This window comes from Homo sapiens, chromosome 9, assembly GCF_000001405.40.
Source record: "Homo sapiens chromosome 9, GRCh38.p14 Primary Assembly".
In the NCBI taxonomy this organism is placed as follows: Eukaryota; Metazoa; Chordata; class Mammalia; order Primates; family Hominidae; genus Homo; species Homo sapiens.
The window spans coordinates 135,411,004-135,423,495 of NC_000009.12; the positions used below are offsets into that span (position 1 = coordinate 135,411,004).

The following is a 12,492-nucleotide window of genomic DNA, read 5'->3' on the forward strand; positions in this document are numbered from 1 at the left end:
CTGCAGCTGCGGCAGGCCCTGCCTGCAGCCGCCTGTGGCCTCCATGGACAGACGGCCCTGGTGACCCCCACCTGAAAACCAAACTGAAACCTGGAGGAGGGGCTGCCCGGTGCACCGATTTCAAGGAGCAGTTCCAGAGTCGGCCTCTGGTCACCAGGGGTTGGTGCGTTCCTTCCTTCCCCAAGACACCCATGTGGGAGGTCAGGTGGGAGTCAGGGAATCAGGGAAATACTGTGGGACCCCAAGCCAGCTGAGCCCTGGGAGCACCAACGGGAAACGCCAACGAGTGCTGAGCCCTCCCGGCACGATCCAGGAAACCCTCTCAGCTCCACCAGGCGGTGAAACACCACCTCTGCGAATCTGCGTTCCGGGGCCTGGGGCTGTCCAGCGGAAACACAGCTCAGCCACATTTAAGGAGGCAAAAAAAAAAAAAAAGCAGCGGAAATTCATCCTGGTAATGTATTTTTGTTAAACCCAATATACTCAAATATAAAGAATTATTAATGAGATTTTTTTGCATTTGTTTTTCTACTAAGTCTTCAAAATAGGACCTGGTCTTTATACCAGAACACCACATCCCAGGGCAGACCAGCCCCATTTCCAGTGGCAATACCCCTCCCACACAGGGTGGATCGATAAAAATAAGAAAACTGTGAAAGCACTTTTTTTTTTTGACAGGGTCTCATTCTGTCACCCAGGCTGGGGTGCAGTGGCACACTCACAGCTCACTGCAGCCTCCACTTCCCAAGCTCGGGTGATCTTCCCACCTCAGCCTCCCAAGTAGCTGGGACTGCAGGTCTTCGCCATCACACCCGGCTTGCCTATTTATTTATTTATTTATTTATTTATTTATTTAATTTATTTATTTATTGAGATGTGGATCTCACTATGTTGCCCAGGCTGGTCTCAAACTCCTGGACACAAGTGACCCTCCCTCCTTGGCCTCCCAAAGCGCTGGGATTACAGGTGTGAGCCACCGCGTCTGGCCTGACAGAACTTTTTTTTTTTTTTTTTTGAGATGGAGTCTTGCTCTGTCCCCCAGGCTGGAGTGCAATGGCACAATCTCAGCTCACTGCAACCTCTGCCTCCTGGGTTCAGGCGAGTCTCCTGCCTCATCCTCTCGAGTAGCTGGGATTACAGGTGCCCGCCACCACGCCCGACTAATTTTTGTATTTTTAGTAGAGACGGGTTTTCATCATGTTGGCCAGCATGGTCTCGAACTCCTGACCTCAAGTGATGCACTCACCTCGGCCTCCCAAAGTGCTGGGATTACAGGCGTGAGGCACCGTGCCTGGCCTCTGAATGCACTTTTTTCCAAAAAGAAGCCATAGGTCAGCGCAGATGTTCTCACTCATTGGTGGGAATTGAACAATGAGAACACATGGACACAGGGAGGGGAACATCACACTCCGGGGCCTGTTGTGGGGTGGGGGGAGAGGGGAGGGATAACATTAGGAGATATACCTAATGCTAAATGACGAGTTAATGGGTGCAGCACACCAGCATGGCACATGTATACATATGTAACAAACCTGCACGTTGTACACATGTACCCTAGAACTTGAAGTATAATAATAATAAAATTAAAAAAAGAAAGAACGGGGAAGCTTCCAGGCCTTCGCGAGCCCAGCGCAGCCTCCCGGGCCGGGCGAGGGGTTTGCGGCTGATTCTCCGCGCGTCTCAGCCTGACCCACCGGCTCCCCGCCGCTCCGGGAAGCGCGCGCTCGCCCCCTGCTGGACGCTCGCGGCCCTGCGCCCAGCGCGTTCGGTGGAGGGACCCTGGCACCCAGCGGGCGGAGCCGGCATTTCTGCAGGAAGGAGCCAGGTGGACGCCGGAAAACCCAGGCACCAAGATGAAAACACGTAATACACCTGGTGTTCAGATCCGAAGTAATGCAGGAATATCCGCGGGGCACAAAGTGTCAGATGCTAAAAGCAGCTCTGAATGGTGGGGTGGGGTCCTTCTCGGCTGTGGGGAAACTGAGGTAATTTGACTGACTCAGCTGCCCGAGGTTCTTTCTGGAAGATTCTTTCTCAGTCAGCGCAGACTGCCACAACAAAACGCCACAGACCAGGGCCTTAAACATTCAGTTCTGACCGTTCTGGAGGCCGGGAGGTCCTAGATGAAGGGGCCAGCTGGTTCCAGGTCTGGTGAGACCCACGATTGCAGACTCACGGCTGCCCCACTGCGTCCTCACGCAGCCTTTCCCGGGATGCGCAGGGGGAGAGCTCTGGCCTCCCCTCCTCTTCCGAGAAGGTCATTAACGCTGTCAGATCGGGGCCCACCCTTACAACCTCACTGAGCTGCATCACCTCCAAAGGCCCTGTCTCCAAATAGCCACACAGGGTCTGGGAGCCAAGGTCTGAACCCGGGGACATAATTCACTCCACAGCACAGGGACCTAAATACATGAAGCCACTGGCGCAGACCTGGTGGTGCAGTCGCTGGAGAGGTGGCTGGTTCCCCAGAACCCCCGCTAGAGCTGCCCGGCAGCCTCCAACCCCACGCAGGTCGGGAGGTCTGCGGCCCGGCTCCCACGCTGCACCGGGACTGCCTGCCTGATCCGAGAGGCCCCTGCGTTGCACAGCAGGCTTCACTGCCTCTCTTAGGGGACAGGCCACAGGGCCACCCGGCGTGGCCACCTCCAGCCCACAGGGTCCAGCCGGATTCGGGGATGACAGTGACCCCTCCCCACGGAGGGCCTTCTGCTTCCAGAAGAAGGGTCCTTGAAGAGGCCCTTGCAGGGCCTCTAAGCTCACGGATGCTTTATCCCCACGACTCCCCATAGAGGGGCCTGCGGTCACCCAGGGGCCAACAGGAGCCATGGGCAGCCTCTGTCCACACCCAGCTGAGGCCCTGCCCCATGGGTTGGAAGATGGACGGGAATCATTGGTTCCTTCCGGCACGTCCATCCACACAAAACTGATTCCTTTGGAGATTTTGCAAAAGGTTCTAGTCTTTCCTCAAAAAAGTGCGCCGGGGGTTGTGGTGAGGATTCTGTTCCTCTTTCTCTTTTAAACAAGGCAGAGACGTCCCCCTTCATAGCCATCCCCTACGCTGACCAGTGGTTTCTCATTAAAAAATGAAAAGTGCTTTCCCCAAAGAACTGAAAACAGGCATTCCAGCAAAAACCTGCACACACATGTTCCTGGCAGCATTGTTCACAATGCCCCTGCAAATGTCCATCCACAGAGCAATGTGGTCACAGCGTGTGGTCCATCCATACAGTGGGATATTACTCAGCCAGAAAAGAAAGGAAATTCTGGGCCATGAAAACATTACGCTAAGTGGAAGAGGCCGGTTACAAGAGGACACACGTGGTGTGATTCCTTTTCCACGACATGTGAGGAGTGAACAAATCCACGGAGACAGAGGGAACAGAGCTTCCCGGGGCTGTGGGGGCCAGGAGTGGGGAGCCACTGCCTCATAGGGACGGGGCTTCGGCCTGGAGGCCTGAAAACGTCCTGAAACTAGCTGGAGGTCGTGGTTACGCAACACCATGAATGTCTAAACACCCCCAAGCTGTGCACCTGAAAATGATTCATCCAATCATCCACTTTAAATACGTGCGGTTCTCAGACATCGGTTCTACCTCAATAAAGTGGTCTGTAAAAACAGTTAATTTTATGTTATGTGGACTTTACCCCAATTTTTTAAAACAGTGCTTCCATCCCTTGCAGGGCTCTGTCTAGCAAGGACCCAGCTGTGAAGCTTGTGGTGGCTTTTAGGGGAGCTCCAGGTTACTTGGGGGTCTTTGAATCCCAACACCCATCCTAGTGTCCACAGCTGATCCCTCTCGCCCCCCAGACACAAAGGAAAAAGGTGTGCGAAGCCAGGGGCGGTGGCTCATGCCTGTAATCCCAGCACTTTGGGAGGCCAAGGCAGGCAGATCACCTAAGGTCAGGAGTTCGAGACCAGCCTGGGCAACATGGTGAAACCCCATCTCTACTAAAAATACAAAAAGCTAGCTGGGCGTGGGGGCACACACCTGTAATCCCAGCTACACAGGAGGCTAAGGCAAGAGAATTGCTTGAACCTGGGAGGCAGATGTTGCAGTGAGTCGAGATCGCACCACTGCACTCCAGCCTGGGCGACAGAGTGAGACTGCATCTCAAAAACAAACAAAAACAAATTCAGCCTGGGCAACACAGCGAGACCTCACCTCTAAAAACGATAACATGGCCCCAAGTCCTTGCCCCTCTTCCCATCAAGACGTGGGGTCTCTACCCCCCACCCCCACTGCCCCTCTTCCCATCAAGACGTGGGGTCTGTACCCCCTACCCACACTGACCCTCTTCCCATCGAGAGGTGGGGTCTCCACCCCTTACCCACACTGACCCTCTTCCCATTGAGAGGTGGGGTCTCCACCCCTTACCCACACTGACCCTCTTCCCATTGAGAGGTGGGGTCTCTACCCCTTACCCACACTGACCCTCTTCCCATTGAGAGGTGGGGTCTCTACCCCTTACCCACACTGACCCTCTTCCCATTGAGAGGTGGGGTCTCTACCCCTTACCCACACTGACCCTCTTCCCATTGAGAGGTGGGGTCTCTACCCCTTACCCCCACTGCCAAACCTGGACCAGCTGTGACTGCTTTCAATGGCAGGCAGTGGCAGTGAGGCCAGGTGTGTTTGGAGACTGGACAGCACAGGCCAGTGGCCTCACCTGACACTCCGACTCAAGAAGCTCCCTTTCCGAGCCTGGTCATCATGCTGGGAGAAACCCAAGCCACACAGGAGGCCACGAGCTCGTGCTTTGGTGGACAGTCACCACTGAGCCCGGCTCAGCGCACATATGTGATGGTCCAGCTTCAAGTCCCCTTAGTGTTGGCACCGTCCCATTTGACCCCAGACAACATGGAACAGAATCAAAGCCACTCCATTGCGTCCTGCGTGAATTCCTGACCTCCAGCTCCGCCAGCATAATGAAATAGTGGCTGCTTCATCTTACCCAATTCAGCTTGGGGTGGTTTGTTACACAGAAGCCAATATTTGACTTTATTTGACTGATGGCTGTCCAAAAGCTTACAATTTGAACAGCCTGACATGGATGCTGTTTTCTGCCTAAAAACTCATATTTTGCAAACTACTGAGTGCAAGTTTACTTTAATGACCTGTGAGCTTGGCCGTGTAAAGACTTGCTGAAAGCCAGCCGTATTATCAGAAAGCACGGAGCCAGTTTGCAAGCTCTCGTATTGCTCAGAACTCTTTCAGTGGTAAGGGGCAGAGATGGGACCCACGCTAGCTACCAGCAGAAAGGAAGCTACCGGCAGGGTGGTACCTCGGGCTGGCTCCAGAGACACATGCACGCACACATGCATGCACAGGCACACACATATGTGCACACACACATACATACACGGGAAGCATTCTATTGCTATATGGTGAAACTTGTGGTCATTTTATTTCCTCATGAGCTGCAATTGTGGGTTTATCAGATGTTTCTGCCACTTTCCTTCTCTCTCTCTTCCTCTCTCTCTCTCTCTGCTATCATTTGAATAAACATATCGCTCCAGAATTCATATACTGAAATGTAATGGATTAAGAGATGGGGCCTTGGGCAGGTGACTGAGTCATGAGGGCCTCCCTCACGGATGGGATTAGTGCCCTTATAAAAGGGCTGGAGGAAACTAGCTAGGCCACTTTTGCCCTCCCGCCCCTTCCACTAAGTGAGGCCAGAACGTAGCAACCAGACACCATCTTGGAAGCAGAGAGCATTCTCATCAGTCGCCAGACCTGCTGGTGCTGTGATCTTGAACTTCCAACCTCCAGAATTGTAAGCAATGTATTTGTGCTGTTTATAAATTACCCAGTCTAAGGGATTTTGTTAGCAGCATAAACAGACCAAGACACTCTCTCTCAGTTTCTTGGCTCTCTCTCCGTTGGCCTCATTTTCTCCTGCAAATGAACCTCGTCCATTTGGCCAGCAGGAGGGAGGATGTGGCTGCAGGCCACCAGGCTAACAGCCCCTCAGGTCAACAACACCCCCATGGAACCTCTTCCTCTCTTCAGCGTGTGTCATACGTGTACACACATGCATACACACATACAGGAAGCACTCTATCTTTACATAGTGAAGCTTGTGGTCATCATTTTATTTCCTCGTGAGCTGCAATGGTAAGAATTCCCTGAAAATTCCCCCACTGGCAGGCCACAGCGTGCTTAAACAACATCAAATCCAACGCATCTCACTGTATCACTGAACTATAGTTAGAGGTTTTGTTTTGAAAATTAGTTGACAACTTCAGCGCTTTTGTCATTTTTATGTTCACCAGCACAAAGATGAGCTTTTAGGTGCTCAGGAAGGGCAAGCCAGGTGACCGTCTTCCATGCAGCAGGGACTCTACTTAAATTCAGTGTTTTTCCAAAGCCCCTTTCTACTCCAAAAGCACCCATCTTATAATCAATATGCTGGGAGCACTCAGTTTCTCTCCCTGCATGACCAAGTTAATCAACAGCAGAGGCTGCATTAATCAGCTTTGTTGCAGTAACAAACACGCCCAGAACGTGCCCCAGTGCTGGCATCTCAGGTGGGCTCAGGTGGGCTGCAGATCAGCCACTTGTTTGCTCATTCCTGGAGCAGCAGGAATTCCTGGACCATTCCAGTCCCTACTGGAGACATGCTGGTGGCAAAGTCTTCCTTACCAAGCTTAAACAAGTGTCATGAAGTCTTTTTTCTTTAACACTGGCCTCTGGTAGCCTCTGCTCAGATGGGCTTTTGTCCTGGCATCCCCTTGACATTGGCCAAAGCTGGTCTCAGACCAAGCCCAGCAATGGGATCTCGGCATGTGCCTCCAGGAAGAACTGCAAACTGAATGTCGATGATTCGAATGCATAACCCCTGCGGGGCTAGAGGACACACAGATGCACACAGTTCACCGCAGACCCTCTCAGGGGCCACCCAGACCAGCCGTGTTGGGAAGGACGCTGTTGGAAAGGCTTCCTCCTGGGCTGTGGTTTGAGCCTCTCTGAGGTGTCTCCTGCTCTCTCCAGAATGGAATGGAAGGGAGGTGGGTCTCAGATTTCTGAAGAGCAGCTGCCTAAGCCTGGAGTTTCAGGTGATTGAGTGTGTTGGTGGGTGGGGGGTAGTGAGGAAAGCAAAGGAAAGAAATAAGCTCTTGGCTTGGACTTGAAGGGCTGCCTGGCGCTGTCCTGCTTCGGGGCTGAGGGGAGGAGCTGAGGCAGGTGAAGGCCTTGGTGGCCCTGGACCCATCAGAACCCAACAGCTCTCCATGGCAGCACCCGCCCCAGCCAGACCATGAGCCTTGGCTGAGATCTTGCTTCTGGGAATGAGGTCAGGCCCTGCTGTTCAGGGGGGGCCCCCAAGGCTGCTCCTGCCTCCCGCCTAATTCAGCCCTATTTCTTAGAGGGCTCACCGTGACTCAAACACCCCAGCAAGCAAGACACTCACGTTCCCTCCTTCCTTGACCTGCACCGCCAGCCTCTCTCAAGAGAAATGGCCGCCAGTGGATCCAGGGTCCCCAAGGTGTTTGTTTCTGGAAATTTCCACGGTGGCCAGGCCTCTAAACATGAGGTCAAGATGCCACCTGTCCTGGCTCGTCTCTCATTGCGTTTCCCTGTGTATGAAGCGACCTTCCTTTGATCCAGAGCACAAAAATGCATGGAATATTCTGCAAGGACCACAGGGAGACTTTTAGTTTCCAAATGTCAGCTGGAAAATAACAATATGGGAGGTAGGATAAAAAATCCATTGCTGGCCGGATGTAGAGGCTCACGCCTGTAATCCCAGCACTTTGGGAGGCCGATGTGGGTGAATCACTGGAGGTCAGGAGTTTGAGACCAGCCTGGCCAACACGGTGAAACCCCGTCTCTACTAAAAATTAAAAAATTGGCTGGATGTGGTGGCACGAGCCTGTAATCCCAGCTACTCGGGAGGCTGGGGCAGGAGAATTGCTTGAACCCAGGAGACAGAGGTTGCAGTGAGCTGAGATCAGGCCATTGCACTCCAGCCTGGGTGACAGGAGTGAAACTCCATCTCAAAAAAAAAAAAAAAAGGGAAAGAAAAGAAAAAGAAAGAAAGAAAATCCATTGCCCAGACCGGGCATCAGATTGCTGGCAAGGTGAGATCATCAGACACCCAGGGGCACCACACCTTCCATTCCTTCCTGCCTAAGATGAGCAAGCCCTCAGAGCTGTCCCCGTGAGGGGCCTGGTCCTAGCCTGCCAATCCCGGGAGGGGTCACACACCACCCCTGTGGGGGATGGGCTGAAAACACAGCAAGGACCACCCACCACTGCCCTCTCCCTCCTTCTGAGCTCATCACACCCTCCTGGAGACTCTGGTGCCCTTGGGGTCACTCCAAGCCAAGGTGTTGGGGAGCAGGTTACAGAACCCCCCAGCCCTCACCACCCTCCACTGCACAGCAAGACCAAGACCCAGCCTGGGGAGCCACGCTCTCCATCCCTCCCTTCCCCAGCAGGCAGCACAACTCAAATCTAATTCAGGCAAGGAGGGGCTGTCCAGGGCAAGAACATGCTTCCAAAGGAAACCTCCCTGGTGCACAGAGACACACACCAGTGAGCACACGTGCACACGCCCATGCATGCACAACATGCATGCACATACACATGCATGCACACCCCACACACACCTGGCTTGTGACCTTCCACACTTCCAGCCCGGCTGCCTTCCTCTCTCCTCTCCCCACCTCAGCCCCGGCTCCCTACTGGGCATCAAGGAGTTTGACAACCCAGGCAGATGGGCTGACAACTCCTCCGTCACCTTCTAAGACACATTCTGTGAGGAAGGCAGGTGGGTTTTGTTTTGTTTTTTTTTTGTTTTTTTTTTTCGAGACAGAGTCTCTCTCTGTCACCCAGGCTGGAGTGCAGTGGCACAGTCTCTGCTCACTGCAACCTCCACCTCCCAGGTTCAAGTGATTCTCCTGCCTCAGCCTCTCGAGTAGCTGGGACTACAGGCGCCTGCCACCACGCCTGGCTAATTTTTTGTATTTTTAGTAGAGACGGGGTTTCACCATGTTGGCCAGGATGGTCTCGATCTCTTGACCTCGTGATCCACCCGCCTTGGCCTCCCAAAGTGCTGGGATTACAGGCCTGAGCCACCGCACCTGTCCAGCAGGTGGGTTTCTTAAAAAGATGTCGAATAAGGGAAAATATTTGCAATGAAATGTAAAAATTGCTACTCCAAAGAACATTTTTAATTATTGCTTTGAAGCTGGGAAGTGTCTTGGGAGGATGTGAAATTTGGGAGATTCGTTTCCTTTATTTCTTGGTGCAGTTATTGGGTACCCCCTCATCCTCGGCTTGCTCTGGCTGGGCCCCCCAGGCTGATCCTCGGGCTTTCTGGGGCACCCTGGCTGAAAACAACATAAAACCTCAAGCGCCAAGCCGTCTCTAGCTGGGAAAAGAAAAAGATGCTGTAACTCAGCTGGACATTGCTGCTAAGCCCCCCACTCTCTCCCCGAAGCCAGCATTCCCTCCTGTATTTATTCCACAAATGTTTATTGAGCATCTTCTATGTGCCAGACACATGCATCCACCAACTGAGACTCACTTTCAGGTCAGAACGTTTAAACCAATTAATTCTCTGCTTGTCTTAAATCAATCACCACAGAAAAGGCCTGAATTACAGGCTGTACTAATCTCAGTGGGTCTCGGTGGGAGGTCTTCCCTTGATAATAAACATATTTTTACACAACATAGAAAACCTATTTTTTCCCCCTCCCAAAACTCAGATTCCCATTTCCCTGGTCCTGAAAGATTAATTTGAAGCAAGGTCTCCCACTGGCAGCACTGCTGACATTGGTGCTGGGTAATTTGTCCTGGGGGCTGTCTGAGCCCTGTAGGACCGTCAGAGGCATTTGAACCAGAGTGACTCCTCCATCTTGAACAGGGGCTGGGTAAAATAAGGCTGAGACCTGCTGGGCTGCACTCCCGGGAGGCTAGGCTTTCTTTTTTTTTTTTTTTCTGAGATGGAGTCTCAGCCCAGGCTGGAGTGCAGTGGCGCAATCTCGGCTGACTGCAACCTCTGCCTCCTGGGTTCACGCCATTCTCCTGCCTCAGCCTCCTGAGTAGCTGGGACTACAGGCACCTGCCACCACGCCTGGCTATTTTGTGTGTGTGTGTGTGTGTGTGTGTGTGTGTGTGTGTATTTTTAGTAGAGGCGGGGTTTTACAGTGTTAGCCAGGATGGTCTCAATCTCCTGACCTCGTGATCCGCCTGCCTCGGCCTCCCAAAGTGCTGGGATTACAGGCGTGAGCCACCGCACCCGGCCCCAGGAGGCTAGGCATTCTTAGTCACGGGATGAGATAGGAGATCGGCACAAGATACAGGTCACAAAGACCCTGCTGATACAACAGGATGCAGTAGAGAAGCCGACCAACACCCACCAAAACCAAGATGGCGATGAAAGTGCCCCCTGGTGGTCCTCACTGCTCGTTATATGCTAACTATAATACATTAGCACGATAGCAGACACTCCCACCCAGGCCATGACAGTTTACAGATGCCATGGCAACGTCGGGAAGTTACCCTATATGGTCTGATAAGGGCAGGAACCCTCAGTTCAGGGAAATCTCCACCCCTTTCCTGGAAAACTCATGAATAACTCACCTCTTGTTTATCATAGAATCAAGAAATACCATCAAATAGCCAACCAGCATTCCATGCTGCTGTTCTGCTATGGAGTGGCCATTCTTTTATTCCTTTAACTTTCCCTTTTTTTTTTTTGACAGAGTCTTGCTCTGTCGCCCAGGCTGGAGTACAGTGGTGTGATCCCACTGCACCCTCCGACTCCTGGGTTCAAGTGATTCTCCTGCCTCAGCCTCCCGAGTAGCTAGGATTACAGGCACGTGCCACCATGCCCGGCTAATTTTGTATTTTTAGTAGAGACAGGGTTTCTCCATGTTGACCAGGCTGGTCTCAAACTCCTGATCTCAGGTGATCTGCCCGCCTCGGCCTCCCAAAGTGCTGGGATTACAGGTGTGAGCCACTGCACCCAGCCTATTCCTTTACTTTCTTAATAAACTTGCTTTCACTTTACTCTATGGACTCTCCCCAAATTCTTTCTTTCATGAGGTCCAAGAACCATTTATCGGGGTCTGGATCAGGACCCCTTTCTAGTAGTAAGACATTTATCCGCATGACTGGCACCCACCCACCAGATGCCAACAGCCCCTCAGGGTGACAACCACAGATATCCCCAGCCATTGCCACCTGTGCCCTGGGGGCAAGGTCAGCTCGTCGAGAGCCACTGATTTAGAGGGACTCAGTTTCCTAGGGGTTGGCTGTCTGCTGAGCCTGCTTAGAGAAACGAACGGTCTCATGCATAGGCTGTGGGAGAGGTCTTCGCAAATCACTTGACCAGGAGCGTTTTCTTCAGGGAAAAGCCCCGTGGAAGACGACAGTTTTACCAGGAAATTTCCTAATGGCGAATCTTGACAGTCTTCCTCCCCTCCCCATTCATGCCTCACGCTCTCCACAGTTATTAGAAATGCTATTGCAGCTTTCTGTCTTTGACTAGGCTTTGTCATTCCTGACACGTTCTCAGCGGCCTCTTCCACTAAACACGGTTGGAGTGAATTTTCTGAGGGAAATTATAAGGGAAGCCTTTCATCTGGGATCTCACAGGGAAGGGACGTTCCCACCACACAGTCGCAGAAACGACAAACAACTTCCCTAATTGATTCAAAAAGAGAAGGCCCTGGAGGCTGCCTGGGAGCGGGGCTTCCTCTCTGAAATGCTGCCCAGCTTGGCATTTCTTATTTCTGTGAGTTCTTCCTGTCCCTAAGGGCTGGTGCCCAGCTCTGGCCTGGAGGAGTCGGCTCACACCCACCCAGCCCAGAGCCAGGACCCAGGCTTCTCGGAGGGTAAATGACCCTCGCAGCCTTTCCTCCTATGAAGGAGCAGAAAGGAAAAATGATTATTTTCCATGCAAGGCTGTTATACAAACAAGTGTCATACCAAGCCGCAGACAATGAAAGAGTAAAGTGCCCAGTTCTTTTTCTTTCAAAGGAAAATCTGGTGAAATTCATCCTATTAAAACCACCTTTGCAGGCCAGGCACAGTGGCTCAACACCTGTAATCCCAGCACTTTGGGAGGCCGAGGTGGGCAGATCACTTGAGGTCAGGAGTTCAAGACAAGCCTAACCAACATGGCAAAATCCCATCTCTATTAAAAATACAAAAAAAATCAGCTGGGCATGATGGCACGCGCCTGTAATCCCAAGTACTTGGGAGGCTGAGGCACGAGAATCCCTTGAACAGGGGAGGCGGAAGTTGCAGTGAGCCAAGATCGCACTACTGCACCCCAGCCTGGGTGAAAGAGCCAGACTCCGTCTCAAAAAAAAAAAAAAAAACCACACATCTTTGCAAAACTTATAACAGTGTAACCTCCAAACTGCCCTTAGTCATTCTTGGGTATGGTCCATGCTAACTTTGGGAGACATTTAGCTCATAGTTTAAATGATAACAGCCCCTCCCCCAAACTCAACTGCCCTTGTGAAGCTAAAGA

General features: G+C 52.2%; 1 long non-coding RNA gene across 1 annotated transcript, besides 2 other annotated features; it reads right to left on the reverse strand.

Moving 5' to 3' along the window:
• Positions 5,669-5,837: a silencer, noted in NCBI's record as "fragment chr9:138308518-138308686 (GRCh37/hg19 assembly coordinates)". NCBI's record gives its function as "represses an EF-1alpha promoter that drives an FKBP-Casp9 reporter gene in an ReSE screen in HepG2 liver carcinoma cells {active_cell/tissue: HepG2}" and the evidence as "EXISTENCE:reporter gene assay evidence [ECO:0000049][PMID:32094911]".
• LOC124902305 (uncharacterized) lies at positions 6,083-7,768 on the reverse strand. The gene is made up of 2 exons (XR_007061849.1): positions 7,414-7,768; positions 6,083-7,048 (listed from the first exon to the last, which is right to left on the reverse strand). It is a non-coding gene; the product is annotated as an uncharacterized LOC124902305 (long non-coding RNA).
• Positions 10,429-10,634: a silencer, noted in NCBI's record as "fragment chr9:138313278-138313483 (GRCh37/hg19 assembly coordinates)". NCBI's record gives its function as "represses an EF-1alpha promoter that drives an FKBP-Casp9 reporter gene in an ReSE screen in phorbol 12-myristate 13-acetate-treated (for megakaryocytic differentiation) K562 erythroleukemia cells {active_cell/tissue: K562(+PMA)}" and the evidence as "EXISTENCE:reporter gene assay evidence [ECO:0000049][PMID:32094911]".